Genomic DNA, 17,535 nt, shown 5'->3' with positions numbered 1-17,535 from the left:
TTGCTGGGCGCAGTGGCTTACGCCTGTAATCCCACCACTTTGGGAGGCCGAGGTGGGCAGATCATGAGGTCAGGAGTTTGAGACCAGCCTGACCAACATGGTGAAACCCCGTCTCTACTAAAAATACAAAAATTAGCCAGGTATGGTGGCGCGCACCTGTAATCCCAGCTACTCGGGAGGCTGAGGCTGGAGAATCGTTGAACCCCCTCCAGGAGCACTGGGGTCCCTGGGAGGGGGAGGTTGCAGTGAGCTGAGATCGTGCCATTGTACTCCAGCCTGGGTGACAGAGAGTGACTCTGTCTCAAAAAACAAACAAAAAAACAAACAAAAAAAAATGCTGTTAAGTACAGCTAAAGTGCCTTTTCTCTTTCTGCTCTTGCTAGGGGTATATTCTTCCTGTAGATTTCATATTTCTGCATACAATTGTATCCATACTTAACACAGGGTTTTTGTGTTTTTATAGTTACAGGTTGAGCCTGCCAAATTAGAAAATCTGAAATGCCCCCAAATCTGAAACTTTTAGAGTGCCAGCATGATGCCCAATGGAAATGCTCACTGAAGCATTTCAGATTTTAGATTTTTGCATTTGGAATGCTCAGTATAATGTGAATGTTCTAAAATTCAAAATTCATTCCAATACCTGAATTGTATAATATAACTAAAACACAGTTTATCCATTTCCCTACTGATTTATAGTTGGGTTACTTCTACCTTTTCACTGTCCAAAATGTAATGAGCCAGGCATTGTGGTTCACAACCTGTAATCCCAGTAGTTTGGGAGGCTGAGGAGGAAGGATTGCTTGTACCCAGAAATTTGAAACCAGTCTGGGCAACATAGTGAGATTCTTTCTCTACAGAAACTAAAAGGTTAGCCAGACGTGGTGGTGCACACCTGTAGTCAGAGCTTCTCTGGGGGCTGAAGTGGGAGGATCGCATGAACCCCCAAGTTCAAGACCAGCCAGGGCATCATGGCAAGACCCCACCTTTACCAAAAATAGAAAAAGTAGCTGGGTATGGTGGTGCATACCTGTAGTCTCAGCTTGGGAGTTTGAGGCTGCAGTGAGCCATGATTGTGCCACTGCACTCCAGCCTGGGCAACAGAGCAAGACCCTGTCTCCAAAAAAAAAAAAAAAAAAAAAAAAATATATATATATATATATATATATATATGTATATAATAACAGACATTCTTGTGTACATGTCCCAGAATTTCTTCTAACTAAAAACTTAGATATCTACAACTTTATAATATATTGGTACAAACAACTTGTACTAATATTCTCTGTCATGCTGCCCTAGTGTTATAATGGTGTTCTATATTTTCTTCTAAAGATTTTTTTTTCCACATTTAATTTTACCTGTAACTCATTTTTGTAGATGGAGCAAGGTAGAAATCAGTCACATGTCCTATTTATTAAATATTTGTCTTTTCTCCACTGATACGCAGTGTCACATTTGTCATGTCAGCTTGAAATACAAGATGGGGTTTCTTTTTTTGTCTATATTATAAGAATTTTTAAATTTGTGTCAGTATGTGTGTGTGGTCAGGGAGGGAAGGAGAGGCAGAGAGCATTTCAGTATTCTTCAGAATCACTCTGGCTATTCTTGGCCCTTTCCCCCCACATATAGTTTAATTTCAGCTCAATAAGTTTATGAAAACCATTTTGGGATTTTGATGGGAATTGCATTGACTGTATAGTATGACCTATTCAAGGACAGGCAGGTTCTTTACAATATTAAGTCACCTAATTATGAATGTGTATTTCTCCACTTATTTAGGTTTCTTTAATGTGTTTTGATACATTTTTATACTTTTCTATATAAAGAGCATTCACATCTTTTGTTTTCTTCTAGTTATCTTTTTTCTTGTGTGTGCTGGTGTAAATGTTTCAAAACTGCTCCTGTCAAGATCTTTGTGCTGCCAAATCCTAGGGGTCAGTTCTCAGTCCTCATTGTCCTGATATATCCACATTTGTTACAGTTGATCATGCCCTTCTTTTTAATGATTAAAAATGTGCTATTGTGAAATGTATCATACATACAAGATGTTTAAAACAGTTATACAGTTTAAAAGTAATATATAACATAACAAGTACCTGAGTGCCCTGCTGATTTTTATCTTTTTTTGGTCATATTTTCCATCTTTTTGTCTTATTGCTCTAATTTATTAATGTTTCTTCTTACCCTTTTAGTGAGTTTTTCTTTTATGCTCTCATGTTTTAAATTTTCAGAAGTTCTTTTTCTCTGAGTATTGTTCTTATTTCAACATGCAGTATATTGTATGCTTCTTGATGATGGAGAATTTGAAAGTTGTTTGAGAGCTCTGTATGTGGGAGTGTCTCATTGACAGCAAGCAAGCCTCTTTGATGAATGATATGGCGGGGGCAATTCTTGGGACTATTTCCCTTTTGGAGGGCTACTCAGATCCCCCAAAAGACTCATCCAATCTTTTGCCTGAAGAGTATAAACCTGATATTATCTGGAGTAGCAAAATGGGGGAAGAAGTATGGAGTTCTCAATAGTCAGTGTAAAATTTCGTTTAATAACTCTTTTCCACTAATCTTTTTATCAGTGTAGTACCCTTGCTTTTAATTTTTCCTGCTGTTCTGCAGTTCAGAGACCCTCTGTTTTACTCTGTCCCAAGTATGAATGTACAGTTTTTTGCTATAGTGGGAGATGGGCATTGCCTACCTGCATAAGGTTGGGGAAAGGATATAAAATTCTAACTGCTTCTTTTAAAAAGAATTCTATATAAAAAAATACGTTGTATTATGTATATTTAAGGTATGCAGCATGATATTATGAGATATACAAATAGTCACTGGCTTACAATTTTTTGACTTTATGATGGTGGGAGAATGATATGCATTCAGTAGAAACCATCCCTCAAATTTTGAATTTTGATCTTTTTCTGTATTAGCAATATGCAGTACAGAACTCTCTTGTGATGCTGGGTGGCAGCAGCGAGCTGCAGCTCCTAGTCAGCCTGCGATCACCAGAGTAAACAGCTGATGCTGGAGATATTCAACACTTCATAAAATAGGCTTTGTGTGCCCAATTGTAGGCCAGTGTAAGTATTCTGAGTATGTTTAAGGTAGCTGGGCTTAGCCATGATATTCGGTAGGTTAGGTGTATTAAAAGCATTTTGACCCAGGACAATTTCAGCCTACAATGGGTTTATTCAGAAGTGACACCATCTTAGGTTGAGGGGCATCTATATATAGTAAAATGGTTACTACGGTGAAATAAATTAATGTATTCATCAACTCACAGTTACTCACCCCTCCCTCCATGAGCAGCTGTAATCTATTCACTTACCAAAAATCCTGAATACGATACACTATGATGAACTGTATTCTAACGGCTTCTAAATAGACTTTCAATCAATCCTGCTTTTAGTCCTACCTTCAGTGCTACTCTGAAAGGTATGTGGTACTGCTGATTACTAAGCATTTTGGAGTTCTGTGATGTAAATTGGTTTACTTCTGGGCTTTCCAGCTGGCTAAGGTTCTATCTTCTTGGGTCAACTAAGTCAAATACTACTCGTCCATCAACTTTATACCTTCCAAATTTTGGTGGCTGTGAACTTTTCTGTTCTTTTTGTCCTTGTGAGTTTAGGCTCTTCTCTTTTCTGTCCCGTTGCCTCTATAGTTTCAAAATTACAACATGGTATCAAAAGAACTCTATGAATATTACTTAAAATATGATTATTTATTGGTCCTATCTGACTTAAAATTTTTTAAAATGTGGTCATTGAAAGCCATTTAAGATCTTTTTTGTCCTTAGGATAATCCCATTGGGTATATGCAATCAAATTATTGAGTTTCAAAGTTAACTTGAGGCCAGGTTCAGTGGCTCATGTCTGTAATCTCAGCACTTTGGGAGGCCGAGGTGGGCAGATCACTTGAGGTCAGGAGTTCGAGACCAGCCTGGCCAACATGGGGAAACCCTGTCTCTACTAAAAATACAAAAATTAGCTGGGTGTGGTGGCACACACCTGTAATCCCAGCTACTTGGGAGGCTGAGGCAGGAGAATTGCTTGAACCTTAGAGGCAGAGGTTGCAGTGAGCCGAGATCATGCTGCTGCACTTCAGCCTGGGCGACAGAGTGAGACTCTGTCTCAAAAATACATAAATTAAAAAAAAAAAAGTTACTTGAAATAATTTCCCTCTCGTGATTAAGCTATCAGGTTGATACATGATTAGGTTCCTTTACTTTTGATTTTTAGGGATTTTATTTTCTTTTGATTTAATTTCGTTTGAAAATTATGTATGGTTTCAAACTCAAAGCTACGAAAGGAAGTACACTTAGTAAAATCTAGATTTTATCCCTGCCTCTTCTCCCTGTTTTCTCAATTCTCCTATAGACAAATATTCATTGTCTTTAAATAAAAATGGACTTCCCCTTTGCCCTGCTACTCTTTTTTCCCTTACCCTGATTTATTTTCCTTTATAATGCTTATTGCTACCTGACATTATTATGTTTTTTTTTTGAGAATGGGATCTTGCTATGTTGCCCAGGCAGGTCTCAAACTCCTGGGCTCAAGCTATTCTCCCGCCTCTGCCTCCCTAAATGATGGGATTCCAGGCATGAGCTACCACACCTGGCCTTCCATGACATCTTGTTCAACAACTCATGCAAGACCTGAGAGAGTGTTATGCAGGAGGATGGGGTAATCCGACATTTTACGGAACTAGAGTTTGTTATATGGTCAGTTCTTCTATTATGTTATATACATGTTCTTTGCAAAATTTTGCAATAAAGTTATGTGCAAATAGTATTAAAGGGCACAACTCTCAGAACTTTTGTCATTGACACAGAAAAAGGAACCTGATAAAAACAGCACAGTTTTTGCATGTTTAATGGGGAAGAAATATGTAAACACTGCAATAAATATGGCATTTTATTTTGAAGAAGACCTCAAATTTGCTTATAGAAGTGGGCATCCAAAGAGTTGCAGCCTATGTCTTCAGCTAGGTGTAGTTTTCTGAGGTCATCTATTATTTCTTATACATGAAATCATAACATAAGCCAATGGTAATTTTGCATCGTGCATGAAATCCTAATAATCATTTTGGAACAAATTTGTGTTTTTTTAAGCAGATGGTATAACAGGAACTGATTGTTCTTTTCTCTCCTTTAGGTGATATGCCAGTGGGGACTGCTGGCAGACGTGCTTCAAATGAATTCTTGGTGTGTGGAGGGTATGTATATTTACATTATCTTATTAAAATTTGTTTTATATTTTATTTTTGTGAGTAAGGTTATAGAACTTAGTGTTCTTGATTTAAGATTTATTTTGTTTTACAGTCCATTATTTCTGGTTTTTTTTTTTTTTTTTTTTTTTTTTTTGAGATGGAGTCTGGCTCTGTCACCCAGACTAGATTGCAATGGTGTGATCTCAGCTCACTGCAAGCTCTGCCTCTGGGTTCACGCCATTCTCCTGCCTCAGCCTCCCGAGTAGCTGGGACTATAGGTGCCGGCCACCATGCCTGGCTAATTTTTTGTATTTTTAATAGAGACAAGGTTTCACTGGGTTAGCCGGGATGGTCTCGATCTCCTGATCTCATGATCCGCCCGCCTTGGCCTCCCAGAGTGCTGGGATTATAGGCGTGAGCCACCGCACCCTGCCTCATTATTTCTTTTCTTGAAATTTTATTTAGTTATTTTTTTCTTTGAGATGGAGTCTTGCTCTGTGGCCCAGGCTGGAGTGCATTGGTGGGATGTTGGCTCACTGCAACCACCGCCTCCTGGGTTCAAGCCATTCTCCTGTCTCAGCCTTCCAAGTAGCTGGGATTACAGGCATGTGCCACCATACCTGGCTAATTTTTTTTTTTTTTTTTTTTTTTGAGACGGAGTCTCGTCCTGTCACCCAGGTTGGAGTGCAATGGCGTGATGTCGGCTCACTGCAACTTCTACCTGCCGGGTTCAAGTGATTCTCCTGCCTCAGCCTCCTGAGTAGATGGGATTACAGGTACGCACCACCATGCCCAGCTAATTTTTTGTATCTTTAGTAGAGATGGGGTTTCACCATGTTGGCCAGGCTGGTCTCAAACTCCTGACCTCAGGTGATTGCCCGCCTCGGCCTCCCAAAGTGCTGGGATTACAGTTGTGAGCCGCTGTGCCCAGCCTGAAATTTTAATTGTGATAAAAAACACATAAAATCTACTATTTCAGCCATTTTAATGTTTATAGTTCATTATTGTTAAATATGTTCACATTGTTATGCAACCAATTTCTAGGACTTTTTCATTTTGCAAATCTGAAACTTTATACTCATTAAATATTACCTCCCCGTTTCCCCTTCCCCTCAAGGCCCTGATAGTAACCACATTCTGCTCTCTGTTTCTATGAATTTGACTACTTTAGATACCTCATGTAAGTGAAATCATATAGCATTTATCTGTTTTGTGACTTGACTTATTTCACTTAGCATAATGACTGTAAGGTTCATCCATGTTGTGGTATGTGACAGGCTTTTTCCCTTTTTACAGCTGAATTATATTCCATGGTATGTATATGCTACATTTTGTTTATCCATTAATCCATTGGTGAACATTTGGGGTTGCTTCAACCTCTTGGCTATTGTGCATGCTGTTATAAACATGAGTGTGTAAATATCTCCTTAAGATCCTGCTTTCAGTACCTTTGGATATGTACCAAGAAGTGAGATTGCTGGATCATATGGTAATTTTGTGTTTACTTTTTTCAGGAATTGGCTAAATTTTCCATAGCAGTTATACCATTTTACAGTCCAACCAACAGTGCACAGGGGTTCCAGTTTCTCCACATTCTCACCAGCATTTGTTATTTTCTAAAATAACAGCCATCCTAATTAATGAGTGTGAGGTGATACCTCATTGTGATTTTGATTTGCACTTCTCTAATGATTAGTGATATTGAACATCTTTTCTTATACTTCTTAGCCATTTGTATATCATCTTTGGAGAAATGTCCAGTCAAGATCTTTGCCCATTTTTAAATTGAGTTATTTGGGTTTTTGTTGTTGGGTTGTAAGAGTTCTCTGTATATTTTGGATATTAGCCTCTTGTCAGGTATGATTTGCAAATATTTCTTCCCATTCTCTTGGTTGTCTTTTGACTCTTTGTGTCCTTTGATACATGAACATTTTTTAAGTTTGAGGAGGTCATATTTGTGTATTTTTTGTTTTGTTGCCTGTGCTTTTGGCATCATATTCAAGAAATCATTGCCTACTCTTATGTCATATTAAGCTTTCCCTCTATGTTTTTGTCTAGGAGTTTTATAGTTTTGGGTATAATGTTCAGGCCTTTAATCCCCTTTGAGTTAATTTTTGTGTATGGTGTATGATAAGATTCCAACTTTACTCTTTTGCATGTGGATATCCAATTTTCCCAGCACCATTTGCTGAAGAGACTGTCCCTGTCCCATTGTGTGGTCTTAGCATTCTTGTCTGAGATCATTTCACTGTATATGCAAGAGTATCTTTTATTTTTGAGATGGAGTTTCGCTCTTGTTGCCCAGGCTGGAGTGCAATGGTGCGATTTCGGCTTGCTGCAGCCTCCGCCTCCCAGGTTCAAGCAATTCTCCTGCCTCAGCCTCCAGGGTAGCTGGGATTACAGGTACCCGCCACCACGCCTGGCTAATTTTTTGTATTTTTAGTAGAGACGGGGTTTCGCCATGTTGGTCAGGCTGGTCTTGAACTCCTGACCTCGTGATCCACCTGCTTCAGCCTCCCAAACCTTAAACAATTTGATGTACTCTAAGGCGCCCCTTGAGTAGCACTGGTACCTTGGGGGCCCTCAGTGCACAGTTTGGGAACCACGGGGATAAGCAAATCTTGTACAATCTTGTTTCTTTCCTCTCTTTGAGGATATGGGAATTCAATTATGGGAATTGTATATTGCCAGATTTTCACTTCTTTTGATGTGCTGCCTTTTTTTCTTCTTGAGTCATCTTTGGCTCCTTTTTGGCTTCTCTTCCTATGGTCTAATTCTTGAACTTTCCTTTACCAGTGAATATGCATTTTTCTCTAAAGCAGCACTTCTTAGTAATAGTGCCTTCAATAGCTACATGGCAGTTTTCAGTACATGTAGGGAATATAATATCTATTCCTTGTGCATCCAGACAAAAAATAGGCATAGGCATGGGAGTTAGGATATCAGAATTCTAAGACTGGTTGTTGCCAGACATTGATGGAGGCCAGCTGCATACACAGCCCATGGTGCATTAGAGTGCACCATCTGAGTGGATTTCTACCCTTCTGATTGCTTCCCTTTACATGCAGTAACCCCTTTCTCACTAGAACCTTGCAAGCTGTGTGCCTGTGTGCCACACTAGGCCCTTTTCTGATGCTGCTTGGGTCTCTGGGTGATGAGCAGGTTATCTCCACTTGGCTCCCCATCACTTACACAGCCTCATGAGCATGAGCTCACAACTGTGGCTTAGCATTAGTCTGCTAGATTGAGTTTCACAGGAGCTCTTATGCATAGATCCTTCCTTCTTCTCTCCCTCTGTCCCTTGGCATTACTTCCAGCTGAACCCTTGCTTTCCTGATTACCTGTCACCCTTTCAGGATTTACTCATGGAGTCTTCTAAAACAAAGAGGCAACTGGGGATTTCCTGGTGTAAAGATTGTGTATTTGAAGAAGTTGTCATGCTATCACCTAGTCTTTATTTGTCCATTTGCATTTGTGCTTTCCTCTCAGCACAAGTAGATAGAATAACATGTGATTGTGCTTTTGTGTGGCCAGGCTGCCTTATCTTTCAAGTATTTCATATGGGTCCAAGATGACGGTCCACACAGAGAATGTTGTGAATTGTAGGCCCTAGTGGAGGTGAGGAAGATGTGCTGGAGACTCAGGACATACACAGACTTTCCCTCTCCTTAACTTGGACTCAGGGAGTTGAAGATGGTTAAATATTGGTGTTAATATTAAGTTGTACAGGAAAATGGCTGCAGTTGTCTTAGCTAGCTAGAGATCTGGAATTTGTCCAGGGAAGACTTTCTAGACCCTGAGCAAGTCTGCTTGCAGGTCCTGTCCAGAGACTATCTGAGATAACATTTGCAGAACACCATCCATGGCTGTTCATGTCCTCATGCTGGTAGGGGGAGGAACCAGAGGTGTTAGAGAAGCCAGCTGAGATTACCTGAGAGAGGTGCTTAGAATTATGAGGTTGCTAAGTTTACTTCTTTGGGTACCTTTATTTAGCTTCTTCCCTTTGGAGATTAACCAGTACAGGAAAAATTTTAGAGCTTGATAATGTGTATTTAAAAAAAATTCCCTGATGTACTTTAGCAGGGAATGAATGCTTCAAAAACTCTGTTTACTTACTAAATTGAAACAATAAAAAAATGGCATTTATTCTTTCACATTCTGATAATTGATGACTGTGTTGGTTATTCTGTTGTTAAGGAACTTGGGTTGTCAGACCTATGAGTGCACTGGCTTGCAGACACCAGAGCTGATTAGTGAAGTACTGTTAAGCTGTTTTAGTGGTAGTAGAGGGTTTGTGTTTTTGGGATTTTGTTTGTTTGTTTTTAGGATGTAGATAAACTGAAGAATCAGATGTGTAGATATTAAAAACATTATTGTATTTAAAGATACTAAATGGAAATACCTAAATAAAAATGTATAGAGAGAGCTCATAGAAGCACACTAAATGGCGTATCATTAGGAATTCCACTTGGCTGTAAACCACAGGGTCCTAACTATAGAGTGGTTGAACACTTAAAGGTTTTCTCTCATGCAGAAAAGTCACGATAAACAGTTGTTTCCTTAGTTTCTGTGGCTCAAGGAAGTTACGTGTCTTCAGGTCTTTTGGCCTTTTTTTTTGTGGTTCAAAGGTATCTGCTGAAGCTCCAGCAAGCATGCTCACATTTTGAACAGGAAGAATGAGTAGAAGACTTCTGCTTATATCTCACTGACCAAGAAAGACATATGGTTATGCTTGGCTGCAAGGGAGTCTGGGATATGCTGCAATTAATTGGGCATATTATTGCCACTAATAAAATTTAAGTTATTTTTTAGTAAGACATAAAGGCTGAATGGATATTGGGAAAGCAGCTAACATCTCCACTACAAAAGTGTTTTGTATTTCTTTTTACTTTGAAATAAGTCATCTCTCTTAGGGCCCAGTGTTATCTCTGATATGTTTTTAGGATATGTTGTAAAGTGAATTGAAAGTGGTATAAGGACATTCTATTTCTGAATTTATGAAAAGTGAGGAAAGAGGCTATTAAAGAAACCAAATACTGACACTACAAAATGTGGACGTCAGATGAGTTGCATGCTTTGAGAGTTTGTGCAAGATGTTCTCCTTCTTCATAAAGTCAGAGCTCTTTGAGAATGCTTACAGCATTCATGACTTTTGCAAACATTCCAGTCATCTTTGTTGTTGAACTTCCCGTTCTTTTACCCAGCATATTTTCCTGGATATTTTTTCTCTCACATAGTAATGAATAGCAGAATGTGAGTGGATGAAACAGTTTTGCTGACCTGTGGACTTTTCCTGTTGTTGTAAAGGAACTTTTTTCCAGGTTATTATAATTCTTAGTCCTCAATATGCATATGAATGCCAGGAGTTTTTTAGATAATAAATGTGATTTTTTTTGGCTTTATATATTTTTTAACAAGATCATTTCTTATTAAGGTAGTGGAGTGACCATTTGGCTCTTTCTGGAATTTTCTCTAAATATAACTAATGGGTCAAATGAAAGAAAAACAATCCTACCACTGTTTCTTTCCTTTTTCAATAAATTACGATTGCAGGCAGTGTCAGCCTACTGTGTCACCTCACAGCGAAACAGCACCAATTCCAGTTCCTACTCAAATAAGGAATTATCAGCGCATAGAGCAGAATCTTACATCTACTGCCAGCTCAGGCACAAATGTACATGGTTCTCCAAGGTAAGTTAGTAGCTTTTTTCTTGCTTAATTCTTTTTCATCTCCTTTAAAAAAAATTTATTGATATTGGAAGATATGTTACTTTCTGTGGCATAGTGTCTTACATGTGTGTATAATGGGAACGCACAAAATTGAATAATAAAGTTTTATAATTGATGAATTTAAATGCTATTTAAGCTTAGCTTGATAATATAGTATGATATGTATATATTTGTATATATTTTATATATGTTAAGTATACATGTGTATAGACATATATACTTAAAATGTATAATTACTTTTAAGAATTGAGGAAGAACTTATTAAAAAATGAAATCCCACCAGTTGTAGCAGATTATTTACATATTGTTTACTTTTTCCCCCATCCTGAGACCTTACTAAGATCATATTAAAGGAATAACAAAGGTACAAGTCCACAAAAACAAGTGAAATAAGAATAGATTATTCTTTTTTTTTTTCTTTTTCTTTTGTGCTTTTAGAGACGGGGTCTCACTACATTGACCAGGCTGGTCTTGAACTCCTGGCCTCAAGCGATCCTCCCGTCTCAGCCTCTCAAAGTGCTGGGATTACAGGCATGAGCCACCACGCCTGGCCAAGCATAGGTTATTCTTACTCTATTCAGTGAGAGAGAGAGTTCAGTAAATTTCTGGAAAACAGAAGGGGATAGAAGAATGGTACTTGATTTAGCATGGCAGACATAAGTATGCACGTAATCAGGGATTCTGACATAAGGAGAATCACTGTGCCCCACAGTACCCTCAGAGAGACCTAAATCTCAGAGCACCCAATAGAGTGGAGGGAGGAAATAGCACTTTGACTTCTGGTAACTAATTCTACATATATGTATGTCATGGACATAGTCTACATATACAGGCCTCTCCTGTGTATGAAATTGCATTTACACAAAGTTGTTAACTGTTACGATACCAAAGGATGAAAAATAAGCCAAGTGGCCACTGGTAATGAACTAATTTATTAGGATCCATCTCTGATAATGGAATATTACACACCTTCCATTCCACAAAGAGTGAAGGAGTTCCCTCTGTGCCAAGATAGAAAGATTTCCAAGTTATATTATAAAATGAAAAAAGTAAAGTGATTAACAGTATATTGTACAGTGGTTCTCAAAGTTTAGTCTGTGGATCCCTTCAGAGGGTCCATGAGGTCAAAACTATTTTCATAATAAAAATTAGACGTTATTTGCTTTTTTCATTACATTGATACATGCACTGATAGTACAAAATGCAAAGATGGATAAAGCTATTGGTACCTTTGCCTGAATCAGGGTGGTGGTACCCAAACAGTACTATTAGTCTTTGTATTCTTCTCCACTACACACTTGCAGTACAAAAGAATGTCCTTAATGAGGCAGTAAAAATTAATATTTTTCTTTGAAAAAATCTTTGAGTGAGATGTACACATAAAGCACTTTTGCCACATATTAGAGTAGTTATCTTAGGAAAAGCATTGTATGATTGTTCTAGTTCCAAGTTGAGCTAGCTGCTTTGTCATAGAATACCCTTTTTACCTTAAAAAATGGCTGATAAACTATGGTTATGGGTATCAAGCAGCTATTTTGTCAAAAATGGTAAGTCTTTCCACTTTGAAGAAAACAAGTGATGATAAAACTTGAGCTTTTAAGCAAAAATTGGAATGTTGGAAAAATTCAGTGGTGAATACAAGTTTGACAGCTTCTGTTATACCTTGACAGGTGTTTCTTTTAAAATTGAGGGTGATATTTTGTTATGAATATGACTTTTTGATATTGTTTAATGTATCAGCATTGGAATATCTGCATAACTCAGTGAACCAATGTTTTCCAGATTACTGAATGGTTAAAAAAAATCATGCACAGGTAAAAATTTCATTCAAAGTGCAAGATTCTTTGCAAAAGAATGGAGTCTCACATAATGGAGTATGAGTTCATTAATCTGGTTTCAGATCCACATTGCAGCCAACCTTTTAGCAACGACCACTTGCTGAGTTTTGGTGTAGTATCAAAGAAACGTGTCACAGTTAACCTGAAAAGGCTACCAAAATATTCCTTCCTTTCACAGTTACACATCTGTGGAAGGCTGGATCCTCTTCATATTCTTCACTCAAAATAACGTATCTTACAACAGATTGAATGCAGAAGCAATTATGAGAATCCAAATGTCTTCTGTGAGCCATTAGAAATTTATAAAAATATATAAAATAATGCCATGCTTCTTACTAATTTATTTTGTTTTGGAAAATATGCTTATTTTTCATAATCTTATATTACATGGAATAAGCTTATTAATGAGTTAATAATTCTTAAAAATTCTCAGCTTAATTTTGAATACAGTAAATATCAATAGATATAAATTACATAAACAGAACTCTCTGGGGTCTTCAGTAATTTTTAAGAGTATAAACAGGACCTAAGACCAAAAGGATTCAAAATGATTGATATGTAATATATCACCTTTGGTGTTAAAACATGGTGAAAAGGAGTATATATTTAGTTTATTTTGTATATGCATTAAGGAACTCTGGAAGGATATACTAGAAACTAAGAATCATGGTAACCTTTTGAACAGAATTGGGGAAGTGTTGGGAATTAGGCAGATAGAATAGAAAAATGAGAGGGAGACCTCACTCTTTTTATGCATCTTATAATTGTTCCATGTGACTGTATTACATATTTTTGAAAACTACTCCGTGGCATATTGTTAGGAAGTTTCAGAAAATGCAGGAATAAAAAGAGAGTTCTAGAACCTTTTATAGAAGGAATAATTTACTTTTCAGATCTGCAGTGGTACGAAGGTCCAACACCAGCCCCATGGGCTTCCTCCGGCCGGGATCATGCTCCCCAGTACCAGCAGACACAGCACAGACAGTTGGACGAAGGCTCTCCACTGGGTCTTCTAGGCCTTACTCACCTTCCCCTTTGGGTAAGTAGAGTTTAAAAACAGTTGTTTTCAACCTTTTTTTCACTGTAATAAATCTGACATGACACATTTTCTTTAGGAACTTCGGCTCATGATGGCAGTGATTCTCAGCTGATTGGAGGCCATACCCCGTCCCTCCATCTTTACCCCAATCCCAACTCCCTCTTTTCTTTTCTTTTTCCTTTTCTTTCTCTATTTGAGACAAGGTCTCACTCTGTCGCCCAGGCTGGAGTGCAGGGGGCATGATCTCGGCTCACTGCAGCCTCTGCTTCCCAGGTTCAAAGGATCTTTTCACCTCAGTCTCCCAAGTAGCTGGAACTACAGGCGCATGCCACCACACCCAGCTAATTTTTTTTACTTTTTTATTTTTACGGAGACAAAGTTTCACTATGTTACCCAGGCTGGTCTCGAGCACCTGGGCTCAAGCATCCACTCGCCTTGGCCTTCCAAAGTGCTGGGATTATAGGTGTGAGCCACCGCGCCCGGCCCCAACTTCTTTTTGAGAATCTCTGTATAAATTTGTTAGGATCTCTACTGGAAATACAATAATATAAATGTAATTTATGTATAAAAAGCATCTCCTTTGGGATTGGGCTCTAAATGCAAAGTCAGAAACCCTAGGTTGAAGTGCATAAAATGCCTTTTCTACTTATCACTCATACTTATAAGGATTACTGTATAGCAGCTCTGGGTCACAATTACCAGAAACCTTCCAGTTCTGGTAGGCATGTGGTGGCAGCTTTGTTACAGATCTTCCCACTTCTCCTGGTACCGTAATAAGGAGAATGCCAATACAAACAAAACACCAGAAACAACAAAAACCCTACCAAAAGGAAAAACAAACCATGTACCATATCTTCAGTGAAACCAAGGGACAGAAATAAAAGCTCAAACTGCAGAAATATGTGTGAGAGAGCCAAAGCCATTGAGACTACAGCAGCTGTATGAGAGGCAGCACTGAGGTGGTGGGAAGAACAGGTGGTGCACGCAGGGCCTGGGGGTGGCAAATCTCAAAACTGTAAAAAAAATACTTCCAGGAGAGGGCCCCACCTTCAGTCAGAACTGCTGAAGTAACACTAAGATGGAACAGGAAGAAGTCTCCAGAGACAAAGAGAAGGGCTTTCCTCAGGAGCCCTGTTTAAAACAAGACAAAACACACAATGACAGTGTTAAGAAAAAGAAAGAAGTTTAAATTGCCACATTACCTGTTGCAATGGTTTCAAAGCTGTTTTTAGATGAAAAATCTTTAAATAAAATTTTGGCCCTTTCTCACCCCTGTAGCAGCCCCTGAGGTACTTCAAGGTCTCCAAAGATAAGGTCCAAATCTCATCCTTGCACACAAGGATAAAGCCCTTCCCTAAGGATCTGATCTCTGCCCGCTGCTTAATCCCTTGGAATGAGCCCTCTTGATATAGACATGTTTCTCATCTGCTTAAACTGCCTGAAGCCTTCCCTAACTCTCTCTCTCTGTGTTAGTTTTAATTCTCAGAGAAATGGATGCATAGAACATATTAGATATACAAGAGAGTGACTTGGGGAAACTTCTGTGAAGAATGAAGGGGAGGAGCAGGAGGAAGCAGGGAGGGCCCTCAGACCAAGACATAGGTCCAACACCTGGAAAAGGAGGGCAGGAAGGAGGAAGAGCTGGCCAGGAAGAGTCTCAGACTGTGGTGTAGGTCTGAGAAGGTTTCAGCCAGACTGAAGAAGTAGCCCCAAGCACTGGATTGTCTTGTTAGAGGAATTCCCTGACCCGCTTCAACAAGCCTGAATTAGTGTCCCACCATATGCAGTCATTGGCTGGGAACAGCCCTGGGGGAAGCCTAGCCTTGGCACCAGAGGGACTGCAGCTGGGGCTCTCTGTTAGCTGTGCCCTGCAGCTCCACAAGCCCGGACACTTTGTACAAACTCTTTGTGCTTACCTGTCTTATGGACATACCTGTTAGGAGCATTTATTTGTTTATGTGGTTTTTCTTCCCCTAATGTTCTTATTTCAAGGCAGATTATATGATACTTTTTATCTTAGTGTGCAGCACCCAGCGGATTGGTTGTCCAGTAAATGTTAGTTGAACTAAACGTTTGTTACTTAAAATTTTCTAACCAGTAGTTTACTGTGCAATTTGTGCATGTGTTGCCTGTTGCCATCTTTTATTGGTTTTTGATCATTTTTCTTCCTTTCCCCATCTTTTTTTTTTTTTTTTTTGTAGTTGGTACCATTCCTGAGCAATTCAGTCAGTGCTGCTGTGGGCATCCTCAGGGCCATGACTCCAGGAGTAGAAACTCCTCAGGTAGGATAATGTATTTGGTTTATTAATAATTTGAATTGTATTATAAATGGATTTGAGTTGTGTTTTTCTAGTTTTATCAAAGAACAGAATTGATATGAAATATCTCCTCTGCCATCCTGATTTTTAGAATCTTGGTCTAATGTGGTTTAATATGTCATAAAGCTAATCTACTACCTCCTTTTGGATATGAGATTCCTTAATGAAAATAAGTCTTAGAAATTAAATAACTTGGCTAAGTTTTGGTTATTTTCACATAGATAATGAAATTTATTTATGGAGTGAAATTTTATTACTTTAATACTATTGATTAATAATACTTTTTTTTTTTTTTTTTGAAATGGAGTCTCGCTCTGTTGCCCAGGCTGGAGTGTAGTGGCATGATCTTGGCTCACTGCAACCTCCACCTCCTGGGCTCAAGCAATTCTTCTGCCTCAGCCACCCAAGTAGCTGGGACTACAGGTGAGCAACACCATGCCCGGCTAATTTTTGTATTTTTAGTAGAGACGGGGTTTCACCATATTGGCCAGGCTAGTCTCGAACTCCTGACCCTGTGATACACCCGCCTCGGCCTCCCAAAGTGCTGGGATTACAGGTGTGAGCCACCATGCCCGGCTGATTAATACCATTTTTGGTAAGAGCCATGAGTCAGCATCAGATAAAATAATATAGATTTTAAAAATTATATGTATTTGCCTGAAAAGATATGTGTGAATCATGTCTTTATAAGTTAAAGACACTTTATAAGTTAAATTCTGTTGTATGGATATTTAAGGAGTTGGCCAGTTAAAGGAATCCTGTGTTACTTAGAAAAGCACTCTTTAACAAAGCTTAAATAACTTTATTCAGACCATAAGATTTTAACACAAATTTATTTTTATAAAGGGCAGTAAAATTAAATATCAGGTTTGGAAAGAGATGAAGCCAGAAGTGGTCAATAGCAAAGCTTCTGTTGGTTTCTGTTTTTAGAAGAATGATGGTTAGGTCACTAAGAATATTTGCACGCCCTTTATATTATTCTTGCTAGTTTGGCTTCTAAGAAACTCCAAAGAGTGTGTAACTGGAGTCAAGGATTAGTGGACCTTGGGTTGGAAACAGCAAGGTTTGTAGGGGGGAAACAGGGATCTCTTAGGCTCTTGATTTGGTGTCCCCTGAAGAGGCAAGGATATCTGCAGGCAAGTGTTATCTTTGTGAGAATATGGATGCTTTCGGTTTTAAGTGTGTAATTTAATGGACAAAGTACAGAAAATCCACATGCTTGTTATTTTTACACAAAGTAAAATCTCAGAAAGGTCTGTTATCTTATGATCTTCTTTCCTACACGTTATATATATTTGTTTATTTTGTTTTTTTGAATAAGGAGTTATTTTGAGTTAGTTCGAGTTTTCTTTTAGTTGCTGTGTGAGAAAAGAGAATAATTACATAGATTTATCCAGGTATGTATTCATATA

At 38.5% G+C, this 17,535-nt stretch overlaps 1 protein-coding gene across 5 annotated transcripts in view; it reads left to right on the top strand.

The window, feature by feature from the left end:
• ULK2 (unc-51 like autophagy activating kinase 2) overlaps positions 1-17,535 on the top strand; it is a 97,107-nt gene that overhangs the window by 52,355 nt on the left and 27,217 nt on the right. For all 5 annotated transcript variants that reach the window (XM_047437147.1, NM_001142610.2, NM_014683.4 and 2 more), the window contains exons 14-17: positions 5,144-5,204; positions 10,752-10,889; positions 13,660-13,805; positions 16,007-16,087. In XM_047437147.1, the coding sequence (XP_047293103.1) occupies positions 5,144-5,204; positions 10,752-10,889; positions 13,660-13,805; positions 16,007-16,087 (426 nt within the window). The remainder of the gene's footprint in view (positions 1-5,143; positions 5,205-10,751; positions 10,890-13,659; positions 13,806-16,006; positions 16,088-17,535) is intronic.

The sequence above is a fragment of the Homo sapiens genome, chromosome 17 (assembly GCF_000001405.40).
Source record: "Homo sapiens chromosome 17, GRCh38.p14 Primary Assembly".
NCBI classification, from domain to species: domain Eukaryota; kingdom Metazoa; phylum Chordata; class Mammalia; order Primates; family Hominidae; genus Homo; species Homo sapiens.
The sequence above is the reverse complement of the archived record's forward strand: the minus strand, read 5'-3'. Positions and strand labels throughout refer to the sequence as shown.